The 20,184-nt window shown below is 37.0% G+C and overlaps 1 protein-coding gene across 6 annotated transcripts in view, besides 1 other annotated feature; it reads right to left on the minus strand.

Annotated features, from left to right (window-relative positions):
• Positions 1 to 20,184, minus strand: part of EFL1 (elongation factor like GTPase 1) — a 132,502-nt gene that overhangs the window by 83,232 nt on the left and 29,086 nt on the right. For 5 of the 6 annotated variants that reach the window (NR_136410.2, NM_001040610.3, NM_001322844.2 and 2 more), the window contains 8 exons: positions 17,384 to 17,507; positions 15,570 to 15,646; positions 14,727 to 14,863; positions 13,986 to 14,108; positions 11,701 to 11,800; positions 6,614 to 6,765; positions 6,188 to 6,354; positions 1,253 to 1,391 (listed from right to left, as the gene is read on the minus strand). Coding sequence is in view for 5 of the 6 variants with exons in the window: in NM_001040610.3 (NP_001035700.1) it covers positions 1,253 to 1,391; positions 6,188 to 6,354; positions 6,614 to 6,765; positions 11,701 to 11,800; positions 13,986 to 14,108; positions 14,727 to 14,863; positions 15,570 to 15,646; positions 17,384 to 17,507 (1,019 nt within the window). In the remaining variant the exon portion in view is untranslated. Of the gene's footprint in view, positions 1 to 1,252; positions 1,392 to 2,118; positions 6,097 to 6,187; positions 6,355 to 6,613; positions 6,766 to 11,700; positions 11,801 to 13,985; positions 14,109 to 14,726; positions 14,864 to 15,569; positions 15,647 to 17,383; positions 17,508 to 20,184 lie in introns of those variants that run through there. The other variant, XM_024450048.2, reaches the window with a different exon arrangement.
• Positions 15,411 to 15,611: a silencer, noted in NCBI's record as "peak2402 fragment used in MPRA reporter construct". NCBI's record gives its function as "represses an SCP1 promoter by STARR-seq MPRAs in K562 erythroleukemia cells {active_cell/tissue: K562}" and the evidence as "EXISTENCE:reporter gene assay evidence [ECO:0000049][PMID:32103011]".

The raw sequence follows: 20,184 nt of genomic DNA on the forward strand, positions 1-20,184 counted from the left end.
AGGCATCTAGAAATTCAGCAACAGAAAGAAAACCAGAAACTAATGCATGCCACAGTCTCATCCTCTACTAGGGAAAGAACACAAGCACCAGGCCTTAATTAGAGAAGATCGTATAAAAACCATTCACTCAGCAGAATGCCTTTTCTTTCCCTTGAGCATCATGCTGGAGATCTTATACCTCATGTTCCATTTAATTTGAGCAATACAGTAATCTCAAGGAAGGCTTATGAACAAAAGTAGGGTGTTTTCCATTCTTCCAATGTCCTTTCTGATAAAGCTGGCTGTGGCAGCTTAATAAGATGTATCAATTGTTAAGGTTAAATGGCATTTTCCAAAGGGATGGAAGAAAATAGGTAACACCGATGAGAAGCTAAGCATTCTACAAATTTCATGCCAAAAAATTAAATAAAGAAAAGAATATATCTCTGTAGGTGAATAGCAAAATGCTTTGGCAAATTTTTGGGATTCAAGTTTATAAAATCCAGACAAACCATTAGCTATTCTGGACCAACAGACTAGGCCTTTTTTAAAAAAGTTAAACCTTTTTCTAAAAAGCGGAGAATTCCCAAACCAAGCAATCACTCAATAAATAGCTCTATAGCTGACAATGACCCTAAGGGTTCAGAATCTAACAGTACAATGGGATACAGTATTCTACAATACACTCTGGATGCAAGAGAAATTTCTTAATCTGAGTCTTTAGGGTTGCACTAGAAAACTCAAAAAGTGAATTCTGCACATGGGGGACAGAAGTCAAACAAGTGATAACATTAAGGAGATGAAGAGTAATATTTACAGATATAAACGACGATCAACTAATCTTAGCAAAGCAATATTCAAAGGATAAAAGCATGCGAAAAAAGCAATGAGTTTAAATAGACCTTTACATCAGAATAGTTTCTGACAATTTAGAACCTAATCTGTAGAACCAGAAATGCCTTAGTCATCTAGATTGACTTTATGTGAACAGGAATTTCCCCTCTCGCTCTGAAATAAATGGAACTCCAGCTTAGGCTAGAGCATTTACTAATTACTTAAGCAATACATTTTTAAAACAGAGCGACTATAATTTACAGCAAGAAACTGATCTCCATGTGAGTTACTCCAATGTACTAAGTTAAAGATACCAGAAAAAAAAATTATCAAACTAAAGAATAAAGTTATTCCCTTCAAAAATTTCACTAAATTTTCAGTGACATGTTAGATAATCTCCTAGAATGGAGTAAGGATAAAATAAACAGCATCACCCTACCTAGCACATTTCCTGGAGGTACCTCCTCTAGATATTCCAGTTCCCTTCCCATCAGAAGATACAGGTTTTCCAGAGCACAGTATGCCATGTGGGGGACTTGGGGGAGGCCATCTGGTGGAGCTGAGAAGCCTAATGGTACCTGGGCAAAGAAAAATGATGGAAGACAAGTTAGGAGGCATTTGGAAGCATTAATTGGTATTTGTAAAGTTACTTCTATTCATCAGTAAGATATGGTATAGCAACATTTCATGTAAACCTGAAATATGAACATTTGAAATGGTGTGATAAAATATGCCTCACTTTATGAATAAAATCTGAAATACTCAAACTTCTCAAATACTAAAAAATTGTCTAGATTCCCATTTAATCATAAGCTTTATGGCTAAGTAACATAAATTCTGTTGTGACCTGGTATTGTCACTTTAGCTGATCCTCACAGTCCCTTGTTATTTATGTGAACCACATCATACACCAGTTCTGGTGACTACTGTGCTATCATTTGAACACTCATTATTACTATTATCCTTTCAAGTTGTTTTATTTATAATGTTCTTCAAGTATTCAACAAGGGCTGGTGCTAGTGCCAAGTAACATATAAAAATAACTTTGGAAGGGTAGTTAGATGTGATAAAAATGCCAAAAAAAAAGGCCTAACTGCTATTATATGCTATATTGTTCATATGGAAGAGCATGCTGTGATATATTAGGAACACTAATGAGAGGACAGAGTACATTTACAGCAAAAATATACAAGTACAAGTACATTAGATTTATTAGCTCCCCATACATCATATTTATTCTTATGGAACTATTGTCTCAAATGATTCAAATTTTGCATTGTGTGAAGTCTTCAGAAATATACCCACCATATAAATGCAAGTATCCAGAAGGCATTTCAATTAACCAACCAACCAATCTTTGGTGCTCATAGGCCTGGGGTGCTGCCCTAATGCTATGAAGGGAAAAAAATGGCTGAGATACAACATAAACAAAGAGATTAACATCACAAGCATAGGGTGACCAACAAAAAGGTAGTATAGGCAAGTAAATTCATAAAGGTTCAGAGGAAGGAGAGGCCCCTGTGCTAGGGTAGACTCTAGAAATTTCATGAAAATGATGACCTTTCAGGCACATGTTACATCTAAATGTATGTGTTCTGCTAAAATGACAACTCTCAAAGTAGCTCTAAAGATGGGCTGGAGAGATAGAAAAATTATAAGAACTGAATAGAAAGAAATGGAATTATCTACACAATATGACTGTCCACTTAAAACAAGCTACGGATAAATTATAATTAGTGAGACAGCTTAGCAAGGTGGCAAAAATGCAAGATCAATATACAAAAGTTAATTATACTTCTATAATTAGGAATAGAAAATGCATAAATAGAATAGCAATAAATAGAAAATATGTGTATTTAAAATGATTTTTAGAATAGCAACAAAATCTAACAAGTGATCAAAACTCTTTATAAATAAAACTATAAAACTTCATGAAAAACATTTAAAATGACCTAAATAAATAGATAAATAAACCTAATACATTCATGGATGGAAAGATGCTGTATTATAAAATGCTGATTCATGCCAAATAGGTGTATGGACATAAAGTAATTCCAATCGAAGCCTCAACAGGGCTTTTCATAGAAGCTGACAAGCTGACCATAAACTTGATATATAGGAGCAAATAGGAACAAACAAGACACTAACAAAGAAAAACACGGTAAAGGGATTTGGTCTTTTTGATGTCAAAACATTTAAAAATGAAGACAGCACTGAATAGAGATAGTTAGAGACAACCAGAAAAAAATAAAATTAGTCCAGAAACAGACCTATGTACATAGGTAATAATCTGATTTCTGACAGAGTGGACAAAGCTAATCAGTGGATAAAGATGGACTATTCAATAATGTTGGAACAGCTGGACATTTAAATGAGGAAAAAATGAACCTGGATGCCTTCTTTGCAAACAATGAATTAAATATTTAAACATGAAAAGTAAAATATTAAAATTTAGAAGAAAACATAAGAGAGTTTTGTGACTTCAACATAGACTTAATTTCAATTTTCTTAGGATACAAAAAGCAAAACCCATAAAATAATGATAATTCGAGTACATTTACATTAATAACTTCTGCCTATTAAAAGGTACCAAATGGAAAGTAAAAACAAGTTCTACACTGGAGAAGAAATTTGCAAAATTCAAAACTGACAAGGAATTAGTATCCAGAATATACAAAGGACATCTGAAAAGCAGTATTTAAAACAATAAAGTACCATAATAGAAAAACAGGGAAATGACTCCAAGAACTATTAATATCTTCACACGAGAACACAAGATTGACCAATAAACACATTAAAAGAGTTATAAAGAAAATGTAAACTAAAACTGCAAAATACCGTAATATACCCATCAGACTGGCACAAATCAAAAGCCTAACAAAACCAAATTTTGGTGAGCATGTGGAACAACTGTAACTGTTAAACACTCCTATTGGGAGTGTAAATCAGAACTACTTTGGACAATAAATTGGAATTATCTTGTTAAGCAAGAGATTACCAAGGCAACTCCACTATAGGTATATTCCCTAGAATTTCTTGTAAAAGTGCATAAGGAGATATATACAAAAATAATCAAGGTAGCATTGATTAGATTTGAAAAAAAAAAAAAAAAAAAAAACGAAAACAGCAAATATATAGTGACCAAAACACTGTATAAATAAAATGTACATTTAAGTAAAGGAATCCTATGCCACACTGAACAATAAACGAGCTACGGGAATAGGCATTAACATAGATTAATCTCACAAAGTTAAAAAAAAAAAGGCAGGTTGTAGAATAACTACAATGAAATTCCATTTATACAAAGTTTCAAAAGCATGCAAATGTGACAATATTCTTTAGAAATACGTACACAGGTTGTAAAACTATAAAGAAAAGCAAGAGAAGGATGTGGCAGACAGACTAAAAGTGCCCCTCCCATGATGCCTGCTTCCCAGTGTTCACACCTTTGTTTAGAAATCTCCTTCTCGAGTGTGAGTGGGACCTGTGACTTGCTTCTTCTAACAAACGGAATATGGCAAAAGTGATGAGATGTCACACTGTGATTCTATACCATCATACAGGACTCTGTCTTGCTAGGAGATTCCTTCTACTCTCTTATATGGCTTGATGAAGAGGGCCTCCAAGTTGGGAAGGTCCATATGACAAGAAACTGTAGGTGGCCTCTAGGAGCTGAGGGCAGCCAAAGGCCAGAAAAAATCTGGGACTCTTAGTACTGCAGGTGCAAATATATGAATTCTATCAACAACCTTTAGTGAGCTTGGAAGCAGGTTCTTCATCAGTCAGTCCTCCAGATGAGAATGCACCCTGGCCAACATTCTGATTGTGGCTTTGTGAGACCCTAAGGAGAAGATGTGGCTAAGCCATGTCTGGTTTTCCAACCCACAGAAACTGTGGATGACAAAATGTGTAATGTTTCAAGCTGCTACATTTGTTGTAATCTGTAATATGCAGTAGCAGAAAACTAACACAAAGGATGAACACAAATTCTGGGTAGGGGTTACTTTGAAGGTAGGTCTGAAATATTTCAGGTTTTTTTTTAAGCAGTTGGAATTAGGTTTTATGGTGCTCTGGTTACTGAAATAAGAGGCCATTTGAGCTGTCAATGTATTGTATCATTCCTGCTTAAGACATGAGACACATAAGCAACTGATTTCAACCTGTAGCAAAGACACATTATGCAGAGATAAAGTGGATTGTTCATGGAATTTGTAATGCCAAATAAATCAATGTTTCACTAAATAACAATTTCTTGCTCACTTACCTTCACAAAAAAGGAAAAAATTAACTGATACTTGACCCTTACTGATAAATAGCAAACTATCAAGCCAAGATAATCACAGATTACGTAGATGTATAAAAAATCATAGATGAGTTTTTATACATATCACTTTCAGACTCCCATAAAACATAACCCTATACACACCAAGTGCTGCAATCTTTCTTGCTAAATTAGAACATGCCATAGCTCAACAAGGACTGCTTCACTGCCACGCAGCTCTGCACTCTCCAAGGATTAAACTGCTAAAACTCATGGAATAAGCATTCAAGGCAAAGAAAAACTGATGGCAGAGACTTACTTCAACTGCTACCTCCTTCTCTCTCACTTGTAGCCAAGTACCACAGCTTCCCTGGTTTATCTACAGACAGGCTGCTTCCTGCACAGAGAGGAGCATGGGTTTTTGTGCTCATGATGCTCCACGGTGCCAGCTGACAATTTCCTAGCTTACTGCTTTGTGCTGATCCAGACTGGCTGCTTGGACCTCTGGCACTGTCTTCATCCTATGACCTCTATTATTTAATTATGATATAATTATAATGTATATATCTTGCTTACTTCCAAAAATGTTCTGAGACATCTCTAGCCTGTGATCCCTGTTTCGCCCCTTGGCTCAGGCATTTTTAGATGCTGCCTGTTCACCTACTTACAGACCCTCCTGTCCAGACTCAGGGTCTGTGTGCCATGCAACTCCTGCCTATCCCCTGCTCACTGCCCACACCTTTGGCCTAAGCCAGCTAGTTTTTGGATCTTCCTATTTCTCAAAGACCGGCCATTGCCCTGGCTCCAGCATGACATCTGCTCTTATCAGTTCTTTTCTCTAACCACAAGGTGACTCTTGCCTAGAAGAGAAAAGCCTTATAATTAAACAAGGCCTGAAAATTTGGTCCACATATTGGTTTCCTAAATGCTACTAATTGAGACATATATGACAAATGTTATCAAAGCAACACAAAAGGATACACAGTCACTCAAGTGTGCCTTTCCAGAGACAAACTAAATCTACCAACAAGATAATCACCAGTCCCAACAAAATGTGAAAAGATATCAGACCCTCGAGAAACAATATATAAATATTTTACTTTCAATTCTTACCCTTCGTAAAAACTCAAGAGGACTGTATTTGGGCCCCAAGACAAAAATTTTCTTTCCTCTTCGAGCCACACCACTGAACACCCGAGCAAATGCAATAAAAGACTCTTGGTTGTTTTCTTCCTGGAGCACAGGTTTAGGGGTCATACTTTCCACCTGTTGCTCGTCACCTGACAGAAACAAAAAGATAATTAGTGCCAAGAATGCCCTCTTAATTCAAGAACTGTCTGAAATATAGAAGGAGGAGTGAATATGATATCTTTCGTCAAGTTTCAGGAAAAAAAAGAAAACAAAACAAAACAAGAATGGAAAGAATATTGATAAAAACTACGATTAAAGCTTAAAAATCTCAAGAACTAAAGGATGAGTGTCCCAAGTTAAGCAAAAAGGCAAATACTTTGCAACAGAGCCTACTTAGGAAAGCTATACCTCTTGGCTCCTCTCCTTTTGGACATGTTTCAATGGCACTCCCATCTTGGGTGGGCTCCAAGGGTGCCTGTCCCTGTGCTGCTGCAAGCTTCTCTGCATGCCTTTGTCTTGCACGCTCACGTCTCTGAGCAATTTCTTCTTGAGTGAGAGGCCTACAGGATATCACAAATATGCTGTCATCTCTCAGTTCATCCAAGTAGGGAAACAGCAAGCATTGACATGGCTGGGTAAGATGAAGATTGGTCCCAGCTCCATTCCAGGCAATTTTGTCCAAGTCCTCTCCCTGTCTGTAGCAATAAGAGAGGGCCTATCAGCCTCTCTCTAATAATGCTGTGTCCCAACTATTCTGAGCTTATGAACTGACATGCAAGAGCCCAAGTCCCCATCTGGAGCAATGTACAATAGTATGGAACCTTTCTCAGATACCTATATTCCTTCTGGAAAAGGCAAAGAACAGGAAGAAGGAAGGGAAACAGTGACAGATACTAGGGTTTGGAACGACTCTGGCAGGGAAACAAGCATAAGGCCTCAATAACTGGGGTTCAAGAGGAAGGGTTCAAGGTCAGGATGAGTACTGGCAATTCATCAGGACTAGAAGGTCAAACTGAAATATCAGCCACTGTGTTAGACCTAAGAAGTACCATCACAGAAAAGGCAGTGTGTGGGTGTGTATGTGTGGTTTTCCATGGGGGTGAGAATGAGAAGGGGTGGGGGAGGTAATTAAGCTCTTTTTCCTAAAGAACTACCCTCATGTCTGTCAGGACGCAGAGAAGGTATTTAGAGTTTTAATACTAAAAAGGTGTTGACAAAAGGGGAATACTAAGTTGAATACAAATTCTGTTTGGGAGTTTGGGTTTGGAAGGTAGAAACCAGGCCGGTAGACTGTTTCCTAGGACTTGGCTCCCTTCCCACGTAGAGGTCCTTATGAACCTACCTGCATGCTCAACCCCAACACATGAACAAGACCAAACCCTGTCCTAAGGCTGATAGATTAACAGCATCTTCTGCCCTATACTCTGGGAAGTGAACATCAAAGCACTCAGGCTAGTCCTCTGGTCCTAACTTTATGCTCCAGCTCTGGAAGCTGGACAACTCTTCATGGTCCCAACACTTTGTGCCTCTCTCCCGTGTTGTCCATCACCTTTGATATTATGATTCCTGCTTTATTTGCCAATCTCAGACTTCACACCTAACTGATAACCTTCATCCCCACTTTGCCATGCCATATTCCCCTCCTCTCTCCGTAAGCACTGGAAGCCATGCAGGTAACCATTCTCCCTACTTGTCTTCCAAATGGCCACAGACCCTTAGGGCTCCTGATGCAAAGTGGCCTAACTCCTTCTACCTTTCTATTTCACGTAAGCTAACCTGCAAGGTGACTGCTTAAATCATTGACTGTCCACTGCTATACTCTTCAGATATCCGCCTGCTGGACAAGACTTCTCTAGTCCTAGTATCCAGGACTAGACACTACTTCTGCCTTCCTTAGCACCTGTCCCTCAAAATCAATGAGTTTAGTTCCAAGAGTAGGCCCTTCCACTCACACCCACTCTGCTGCAGGTCACTGGGCTGTGCAATAGAATACAAAAATATGAGAAACAATCCTTGAGCCTGGCTTGGTCAGGTGTCTTGTTAGGCAATCAAAACTGCTGGCACTAGGGGGCCACACTACCACTGCAAGAGACAAGCTCCTCATTATAGGAAGCTCTAAATGTCAGAACTTTCAAATACAGAATGAACTCTGCTTCCTCACAATTTCTAGCCATGGCCGCAGTTCTCTCCTCCGGAGCAACATCTAACAAACCTACTTCCCTCTCCTTTCCTTTGAATCACCAGCATTCATGCCTTCCCCACCTTCCTTCTCTTCCCCAGGCTGACCATTCTAGCCGTTCCTTCAACCAATCCTTTGACAACTTTCCTTGTTTCTAGACTTTTGCTAAAAACTCATAAGAATATCTGAAAAGTGTGAATTAAAATATAAATGCAGAACACATTTTTATTATTAGAGTAGGAAGGAAAAAATACCAGAGGTACCTGCTAGCATCTAAAGAGAAATGGTCTCTTCCAACAGGTTTATCACTATGATCCAGAGACTGTTAATCACTTTACATATATTATAGCACATAATTTATCACAACAATTAAATGAAGTAGATATCGTATTCCTATTCTACATATAAGAAAAGGGAGACTGGAAACTTAAGTAACTCGACCCAAAGTCACACAGATATTAAATGGAGGAGCCATAATTCAAATCCAGATCTGTATGGCTCTGAAGTCTATGCTCATTATCACCAGGTTATGTCTTTCCTTCAAGAGGAATTAAAGATAAAATTGTCATCTTATGTAAATGTGATTTCACTTTAGTTTTAGTGAAAAAAGAAGTGTATTTGTTCACTTGCAGATTAAATCCTCATCTGTCTAAGTTCATGAAGTGATCTGGAATAATCAGCATGTACAGTCATTAAGTAAGCATCAACTGTATAGATGCCTGCTGTCTATCTATGTATCTATCCATCCATCCAGTTAACAACTACTGTGTGCCACACACTGCTGGGCACTGGGAATGATGGTAGCGGGGAACAAAGCAGATAGTAATCAGCAAGGATGTGTAAAAAGTACCCACTGTGTATCCAGCATTTGTTGAGAACAAAGAAATTTAATTACAAGAAAATGGGGCCCTACTAGTGAGGAAACAGTTGTGAGTGTTAAGTTATTTAGGCTATAGTTAAACTAACCATGGATGTTACTTCTTGAAGGGGCAATAGTTACTAATACTGAGATGAAGGAGACCAGAGGTGAGAATGTTGACCGAAGATTCAAATGTCAGGTTGGAAGGTGAATTTGAAGAAGCAAAGAAAAGAGGCAAGAACACAAGAACAGAGGAGAAAGTCCTGTAACAGTCCCACACTTCATTTACAACCACAGTGGCACTGTTGAGCAGTGAGTAAAGGTCAGTGTCTTCACTAAGTTAGGGAAAAAATTTTTTAGGCTTTGTGGGCGCCGAATCCTGTTTCCTGCCTTACTTTTCTCCCTGGCACATATCACTAATACATTGTACTCTATACTAAAGGAAAATAATACTCTGCTATTCCTGGCTTGTATGTCTAATACAATGGAGATGAAAATGCTATCAAACCAACTTCCAATGGTACATTTTCCCAAATTTAAAAAATAAAACTTAAATGAAAAAAAAAAATCAGCTAGAAGATGGAAAAGAACAAAGTAATGGTGATGACCTTGCCCAGGTATACCTGAAAACACTATATTATTATGTAACAATTGTTGAACCTGATATACTGGTTAAAAAACAATGACAAAAATAAAATCAGTAAAAAAACTTCATGGAATAGAATGGATTGCACTATCAGAAATATACTAAAATCAGAAAAGCATATGATGAATTATTAGGAAAAACATTCACAGAAAATGTAATTAACAGTAGAGGCATAATAATACTATTATTCATCAGCAAGAAATGAAGGATGGGTAGAGCTAGGAATTTTAAATGCTATAAATACATGTATTTCAAATCTTAACAGCAAGTTTTCCAATTCTCTGATATTCCCTATGATTCTACCAGAATCTCTCAGATACTCCCAATGGCCAAAAAACATCCAATATCCTACATTTGTTACTACAAGAAATTGTTACTACATGTAGCACTGAAATATTATCTGGGAGTAGCCTAGATACATAATTAGACATTCATTCATTCCATTATTCACTCACTTACTTACTCAGTTAGCCACTCATTCACCCATTCACTGACCTGTTATTCCCCCATTTGGATATTCACTCATTCATTCTTCATTTACTCACCCATCTATTCCTTTACTTATCCCCAGGACAAAAATTATTGAATACACTTAATGTCCAAATCACTAGGGAAGTACTAAAAAACAAAGCATAACCTTTCCCCTGAAGGACAAACAGAATTTTATCAGAGGAAAAGAAGCCTTCTCAGATGGAGGAACAGCACAAGTACAGATAGGACATTTGTTCAGACACTAGTATATTAGAGAAACAGAAATAAAAATCTAGTCGAAACATGGTTTGGGGTCAGGTCATGGTGGGTCAGAAATGCCACTAAGACAGGTCAAGTTTATTTCACGGGCTGATGATCTGACCTTCAGTCACTCACATATCATTTTCATGATTTCTGCTATATCTGCATATTATTATTTAATACTTATTTAAATGCACAAACATTTTTAACTCAATAAAACTTTAAAATCTCATCATGGTAAAGGCTTTATCACTTGACATACACAGGCAATACACACAAATACACATTAAAATAAATATGACAACTAATTATATTAAAACTTGTTTCCCTAAGTACCACTGAAATCATCGCCAACACTTTACACTTGAATCAAAACTGCTCAAGACAGTGAGGATCATTAAGGGTTTTTGAGCAAGAGACATATCTTCATAGCTGAGTCTTATAAAGATCACTCTAAAGAAAGAATGGCAAGTGGATCAGTGGAACTAAAGATGGGGCAGGAGAACCAGCTAGGAGGTTGCTGCAACAATATCCACAAGAGATGATCAGAATCTAAACTAGTGGGGAAAGCAGCAGAGACAGAAGGAGGGGAACACACATAAAAAACAGGAAATGTAGAAGACACAGATTCCCCAAGACTCTGGAACTTGAGGAATATCCCTCTCCTACACCTATCACACCTGTGCACACATAATACACACAGGGAAGCAGAGATCCTCATACATTCATAATCTCTACTGAGGTAGGCAGAATTAGATGAGACAAGGCAGACTTAGATTAGAACTTGCCTGACATGTTTAATAAAAGTTAATTGTTGCTACTACTGCTAACATACTCTTCAAACTTACATCACTTCAATTCAATATTCCAGAGCTGATTTCAACAACTTTCTCCTACAGAGGTATCACAAAAGGATATACTACTGTATAAATTGTATGTTACCCTGGGGGTTGGCTTGATATGAATTCTGGGTTGAGGAGGAAAAGCATTATCCGTGCCCCCCCTACCCACAGCCCAACTGCATCCCACCAAACATACACCATATTCCTAGCCCAGCCCAACTTTCCCCTTTCCCTTACCTTGGCTTATTCTGAGGCAAGGCCTTAGCATCAACTGCAAACATTTTGGAAACAAATATAATAACTGGAGCAGTGTCCTCACTTCCACATTTCATAAAAGCTAAACAAATAGGAAGTAAAAATGTCACTATTTTTCCCATTATTAAAAAAAAAAAACAGATTTTTCTGGAAAACAATTAAAATGTTTAGAACATGGATGGCATCATCAAAATACACCAGAAGTCCATAACTTTTTCCAACTATGATAAAAATTTTAATTAGAAAAGGGTAAGATTGCTAGGAAAGAATAGCAGAGCAAGAGCAAACAGTTGGCAGAAATAAGAAAAGAAAAGCAAGCAAATTTGACAGGGTGAGGGATCTCATATGAAAGCTAAAGCTATGCAATGAGGTTAACCACCTACCATAAGCACTAATACATTTTTCACTGTATCAAGTATAGAAAATAGAATTGAGGAATGTTACCAAAGGCCAACAATCAACAAGGTAGCTTGTTAATAAGATACATAAAAATCAATAGCTTTCCCAATCCCCCACAATAACAAGTTAGAAAATAAAATGGACAAAAATACTGTATTATGATATTAACAAATTCTTAGAAATAAATTAAGATTCAATACTATTAAGATACCAATTCTCCCTAAATACACAAATTTTAATGCAATTTCATATTAACATATGAACATTTTCCTTAACCTATACTGGAGGTAAAAAAACATTGATTAATGAATTTTTTTAAAACAATTCCATCACCTCACGTTAAAATAATTTATATATAAAGAATTCAACAGTAAAATACAAACAAGAAAAAAGAAAACCACAGGAAGTAAGAATCAAACATGTATCAGAAGTCTTGCCAGTGGAAGCTTTGAATGAGGAACAGAATGACATGCCCTGATTTATATCTTAAGAGGATCACTCTGTTTTGTCTGCAATAGTTGAGAAAACACTAACAGGAATCAAGAGCAGAAGCAGGGATACTAGTTGTTTCATTGTTGTTGTTGTTGTTTGTTTGTTTGTTTTTTCAGATGGAGTCTTGTTCCGTCGCCCAGGCTGGAGTGCAGTGGCGTTATCTCGGCTCACTGCAACCTCCGCCTCCCAGGTTCAAGCGATCCTCCTGCCTCAGCCTCCCGAGTAGCAGGGACTACAAGCGTGTACCACCACGCCCAGTTAGTTTTTGTATTTTTAGTAGAGACGGAGTTTCACCATGTTGGCCAGGAAGTGAAAACATTGGGAAATAGTTGAATTCTGTATTTCAAAGGAAGAATAAACAGGATTTGCTGATGGACTGGATGTTGGAGTGTGAGATAAATATAAGGGCCATAGATGACTCCAAGGTTTTTGGACTGAGTAAATGAAAAGATTGAGGTCTCCCTAACTGAGATGGGAATGACTAGGTGAGCAGGCTTGGGGATAAGATAAAAAGTCCAGTTGGGGATATGTTCAGTTGAGATGCTTCTTAGACAACACAGTGTAGAGGGAGTTCTAGATATCAGTCCAGAGTCCAGAAAACAGACATGCTCTGAAGACACATAATCGTGGGAATTATGAGTATGTAGCTGTCATTTAAAGTCTTGAGATTGGGTACAATTATCAAAAGAGGGACTACAGATAAAACAGATGAGGATCAAAGACTTGAACCTTGCTTGAGGCACCCCAAAGTTAAAAAGCCAGGGAGATGGGGAGGAATCACAAAAAGAGATATTAAGGATAAGCAGCCAGGGAGACACGAAGAAAAGCAGAAGCAAGGGAATGAAAGCAATGGAAGCCTAAAAGTCAAGGGACGAAAGTGTTTCAAGGAGGAGTGATCAATTGCGTCAAATGCTAGTGACAGATCTAGTCCTGTGAAGACTGAAAACTGGCCATTAGATTTAATGAACCGAAAGTCAATAGTGATGCCAAGAATAACAGTGTAGTGGTTTGGGGGCAGGGTTACAAAACCAATAGAACTGGAGGAAAAGAATTAGAGATAAGAAAATACGTGGAGACAAATTTCATGGAACCTACAAAGCCCAGAATGGGAGCTTCTTTTCTCACGAGGAGCATGTGTACAAGTCGCTGGTCTCACCCTACTGCCTGAGCAAAATGGCTGTAACAAGAAAACCTTTGGGGTGAGGGTGGGAGGCAAAACTGGTGAAATGGTCATTTGTGAAACTGTTCATCTGTGGAAGTGGACATTTGGCAAATTGGCCATTTAGCAAACTAGCGTTCAGCAAACTGGTCTAGAGCAGCCTGGATGGAGGACAGTCAATGACATGGTATATTCCAACAGGTCCATCTTTCCTCACCTGCTTTCAGTGCTTGAGTTTCTGGTGGAAAAGAGTCAAAAGTTTGTGATCCTGTGCACATCAGTCTCTCCACTCTCTCAGCTGTAATATCAAGGGGACTAGGAAGTTTCTGACACACCATAGCTGAAGTCTATTGTTAAGGACTGAAAACCTTGAGCCAGTGCCTCCCACCAAGGCGAAGATTCACTGTATGCACTAAATATTGAGGTAACAAAGTCTGTCCATACAGAAAATGCCTGTGCTACAAGGCAACACTGCTTTATGCATCACATCTCAAAACATGCATACAATTTCAGGGAGTTCACAAACTCCTTAAAGCTCAGAAAGGATCCTCATGACAGATACTTTAACACTGAGGCCCATGAAACAAATGAGAACAGAGCTTAGCAGGTTGGCTACAGGTGACCTTGAAATGAAACAGTTATCTAACACAAACATCTAAATCATCTACTTATATTTGAATCTTAGTGTAAACATTTTTATTTTTATAGATTACTAAACAAACACAAAAAGAATAGTCTTCCTAAAGAAGTTCACTATTAGTAATGTTAACACAAATTAGTATTAGTGTATTAATTATCAAAGTATTTAATACAGTTTCATGGTAGAACACTAAATAAGCAGAGAAGACTTATTTTGGATTGAATGTTATTTCCAGAGAATTTCTTGGTTACCATAACGCATTGTTTTTTCTAGCTTTATCAAAACTATTTCATTAAAAACCATTAGAATAAAGGATACCAAGAACAGCATGGGATATGGGTAGCCACTGACTGCAAATGGCGTTGATCTGAACTTTAGGGTCTGAATGTCGTGCCTCCCGGGCTCCAATTTTTAATCCTAAAGAAGTCACTATTTTATCAATTTTGTCTTTGTCCCTGTGGTAAACACAAGATTGGAGAGGGGAAATGTCATATGCAGATATAAACAGGCAGTGGAACCCAACATTATTTGGCATATTTTTACCCTAATGTGTTACTTTTTCAAAAAAAGCTAAAAATGATTGAAGGGAATCCTGCCGCCACACAAGGGGCCTCCCCAACCTCTACTCTTACACTTTCAAGTGAATCCTTCTTTAAGATTTCCCAGGAAGTACTTCTCCACCATCTCCTCAAGCAAGCTATACCAAGTGGTAAAGCAGTCTTACAAATAAGTGCTAACAAGTCATTATTCCATCTCAGGAATAACTTAGAAAGCAAATTTACTAAAGCAAACTTATACCAGAAAAGTTATTTCTCAACTTCCCCATTAATGATCCTAGCTATCAAGCACCTTTTCTACTTTAATAACTATTTTTTAAAAGTGGGTTTGCATAAACAAAGACCCAATGTTTCTTTCTATCCTTTCATCTCTTCTCCTCAGCACTCTATAAAATATTGCTATCCTGTCCCTCCAACATCACCCTTTAGCTGGGTTACATAGGCTTCTTTAAATTGCTTCCAAGCCCTGTAATCAACTCATCTGTAGAAGCTCTGTTCATTTTCTCAGAAAATCTCAGCTTTCTGAAATATGACTCATCAAACTGGAAAGTGAGACAAATTATACTGCCTAAAGATGCCTAAAGGTAAACAATAAGAGTCTTACTTTTTCAAAACAGCATCATACAAACTCCATATATTTTCCAGGATCAACTGTACAAATAAAGGTTTCTTTCCTTTGGCCTGTACAAAAGAACATACGGGCTTAAGTTCCTGAACATTTAATAGGCATTTATATATTCCTTCTTGACATGCTTTTATTATCAATATGTTTCATTTCTACTTGAAAATATTTATTCAAAAATAAAGTAGATGAAAGTAGTTATAAGAATGCACTAAACAGTCAATAATCCACAATCAATAATAATCCACTGTTCTTTCCTCTGGGAACCATAGACTTTACAAGTGATATGACCATTTGTGGGTCATATTACCATGGCTGCCATCAAACAAATACACACAGCACACAAGCCAAGAGCTAAAACTTCACTCTGCACATGCGGGCTCTTTCCATGGACTTCAGTCTAAAATTATGTTACAAGAAACATAAAGCATTCTTAAACATATTTCTAAAGGTTCACAAGGATAGGAAAATTTTGAAAACCCAAAAAACCCCATCATTACTCTTAACAAACTATGCAAAAAGTTAATAGCAAGAGCACCTTGAGGGGTATACTCTTCCATACACGAGATGGGATATATTAATAAATTGATACCTCCTTTCTGAAGAACTACTGGCAACAGTATTAAGAAATTAAAAGTCATTGGCTTAGAATGCTCAGTTTTAAAAAAAAGCATCATGAAGACATAAAACTTATGCACAAAGATGTCTATCATAACTCTACAATATCAAAACATTTGAAAAAACTATGTCCAATCTTAAGAGAATGATTCATAAATGATAGTGCTCTCACAAAATAAAATAACAGGGTGCTTACTGAATTATTTCATAGAATCATAACTATCCTATGAGATAAGTGCTATTATCTCAATTTTACAGATGAAATAACTGAGATAAAAGTCATAGAGCCAATAAGTGGTGGAGCCAAAATTCAAACACAGAGTCAACTCTCAAGGCATGCTCTTTCCCACTTAGCTATATTCACTCCCTTTAAAATATATTGTTTATAAAAAAGCTTTTAATGGCAAGGGAAGATGTTCATGATATGACAAAAGCAAAAGGGCAGCTACGTTGTATAAACAGCATATCTCAACTGAGGGATGTATATATCTATGTAAAAAGGATGAAAGAAATTATAAACATCTACTAGCAGTGCTGGCTTTGATTTTTTTGTTTACTGTGGCTTTATACTTGTGAATATTTTCTCAAAGCAATGTATATGATTTTCAATGAGAATAAATTTATGAAATCCTGGTTTTAACATTAAAAACACAAAGCTCCAAGAAAAGTATCCTTTGAGGGTATATGACAGCATTCCTACACCACCTCTATCTATAGAAGGGGTTTCAGGGAGCACCCACCTCTCCCGATCTACACTGCACGATGACCAGCATGCAGTGAGATAAGGCCTCAGCTGACACTAGAAAGACAGTGTGAACCATACAGGGATGTCTAGAAGAGACATCTCTTTATGGTGACAGGGACAAACAAATGCACAGCACAAAATGTGTGTCTTCAGGTGCCCAAGATCTAAGATTTTTGGTCTTCTGAAAAAAAAAGAAAAGAAAGAAAAGAAAAGGCAGTTCTTTGCTCACTATACTTAAAAGGACTAAGAATTCTGTATGAATAATACCTGTATATGGACTTGTAAGCCTTTCCCAATTATATACAGTAAAAAATCCCTCATGAACTCACCTGCATAAATTAAAGCTGAATTACATTTATTAAAGATATTACAGTATAGGTTTTCATAGGGCAAGAATATGACCAACAACCAAAAGGGACATATACCACATTACCTGATCACCCTTCATGATCTTTTTAGCCTTCATATTTATATAGTAATCTCCCCACAAGGTTTTCATAAGAACTTCCTTTTTGATGCCAATTTTTTGACTGTAGATTCTGGCGAAGTGCTCAATTCTGAAAGAAGACCAAATGTTCATGTTATTAATAACAACGATTATTGATTTCTGTGACAGGTACTGTTCAAACTTCTTTACACGTGTATTACTAAACTTAATCCAGTATCCTACAAAATTTCCTCATTTTACAGAAAAGGGTAATGAAGCAGAGATATCACACAGGGAACAAGTGAGGTGGGGATTTAAATCCAAGCGGTCTGGCTCCAAAGCCCATGTTCAGGTCTACACCAATATGAATTGTACTACATGCTATAGCTTTCTTTCTTAATTTTGCAGGTGTAAAACAAGATAAAATTAGGGACAAGAAAATGCAAGCTCCAGCTGCCTGTCACAACTATGCCAACAATAAAATTTTATTTCAGCTACTCACTGCTGTTAAGTGACAGCTGCTCACAAATGAAAGAAATTCTTGAGCCACAACCTGCCAAAACAAGATTTTTATTATCCTAGATTAATGGTAAACATACACACACTGACTTAACTCGCATCAACCCACAGAGAAAAACCACTTACCACCGTGGTCTCCAGTCACAGGAAGACAGTCAATCAACAACTAAGGGTCCTATATACAGCATCTGCATTGTCTGGATAAAGGACCTAAGAAATACCTTTTCTTTAGAGAACAATCTAGTTTAAGGTTTGAGATTAGAATTTTCAAAGTACCAGCATCTTAAAAGATGCCTGCTCAGGAAAAAAAAAAAGGATATCCCCAGTTTTTTCCACACCATACTGAAAGCCCAACCTAATGCAATCGCACAAGAAAAGGAAATAAAGGGTATACTGATTAGAAAAGAAGAAATAAAACTATCTTTGTTCACACGTGACTCTTTAATCACTCTTCCACAAATGAAGACAAGGTGAAAGGCTGAAATCCACTGGTAGAGTTCCTATGCCTCAAAAAGAAAGCAGGCTCTGCCTTGCTGCCTACTCTGTGGATCCCTAAAAAGATTCAGGCCTCCTCCTGGCTTCCGGTGTTTCAGCACACCCAGAACGGCACACAGAGCCTTACTTCCAGATGTTAAGTCAGGATACCCTTATCTCTGTGGCTTTTCATTTATAAATACCCAGTTTTGCTAGGCAGGCTGCAACCTGCCATGCAGATTTGCAAATCCAATTCAGGACCTACAGGCAGGTCCAAGGTCCACATATGGAAAGAAACAATAGGAGGCAACCACTGTGGACTGACTTCCCAGGCACTCTCCAACCTAACCTTAGAAGGGAGCCCTATTTGTTAGTAGTGATGCTCCCTGGGGCCTCAATAATACAGCTGAAGCTTTGCTCTCCATATTGGCGACTTGGGTCTATTCTTAGATGGTTAAAACCAGAGATAATGACTGAGCGATGAATACATGAAACCTGTGACATTTTCTTTCTTTTAAATTTGAATTATTTTTTCACCTGATATAGGACCAATTTTTGTATATCCTTCACTGACACTTAAATTCTGACTTTAATTATTCTATTCATATGGTTCATGTTCCTGTCTACTAACCTGTGAAAATCGCCCCCAAACCATGTGCCTACAGAGTTCTACTTATAGTTCTATTTTTGCCTCATGCACTTTGTTGTTATGATAATTGATAGTTAATCTCTTCACTAGTAAATGTGTCAATTATCTATATGAAAATGATCCTTATGCCATAATTCATTTACCATAAATCCTATTTTATTGTTAATATTGCCAAACCTCTCTTTTCATTCACATTTGGTTGACATAATCTGAGCTAAAGCTTTGGTATTTAGCCTCTGTCCATTATGCTTTAAGTTTATCTCTTTTATGTAGCAAACTTATGGATTTATTTTTTTAATAAAATTTCCTTTCTAAAAAATATCTCCTTAGTAGGGGATTTCATACATTTATTGGTATAATCATTTATTGGTACAACTGTTTTGATCAGTTAGATTTCTGGTGTGGTTTCTATTCTTCCAGGATTTTTTTTTAAATGTTGATTTGTGTTACCCAGACTGTATTATACATTATTTTATCTTTTATAATATGTCAGATAAATATCCTGCTCTTAATTCTGAAAGTGGTAAACTTAAAGATTTTTATAAATAAACACTCTAAAACCTCTATCAAAATCATAAATTATAGTAAGACATTTGCCCATTTGCTTAGGCTAGGCTCTTCTAGTCCACCATATTAAATATTCACACATGTGTACACATACGGGTACACAAATCTTTCAAAAATCTTGTTGCTTATCCTTTTCATTCTTTTTTATCCCGTAGTTACTACAAAATTTGCTTAACATCAACCCATTCGACATTACTGCTAGTGTTTTTATTTATTTTTGTCATTAGTTACAATTTTTAAACACTGACAATTTCTAGCACTTCCCCATTCTTGAATTCTATTTTAATTCATTTCCTCTACAGAGTAACTGCAAGCAAGATTCTAAGAGACCTGCAGAAAGATTTATATTCCAAGACTACTGATCTATTCATTGCCTATCTTCCTGAATGACAACTCAGTCAAGTATGAAATTACTGAGCCACACACACCCTTTTGCCCTCCAAGCTACCCAGTAGATTAATGTTAATTACAGAATTCTAATACTCAGTTACACAAAGACAAGTAAATCTATTACAAAGGGCTTTTCATTTCTCTTCTCTCCTGTCCCTCTTCTATAAGGTTGAGGACTCAGTTCTATGTATCTAAAACAAGAACTTAG

The sequence above is a fragment of the Homo sapiens genome, chromosome 15 (assembly GCF_000001405.40).
Source record: "Homo sapiens chromosome 15, GRCh38.p14 Primary Assembly".
In the NCBI taxonomy this organism is placed as follows: domain Eukaryota; kingdom Metazoa; phylum Chordata; class Mammalia; order Primates; family Hominidae; genus Homo; species Homo sapiens.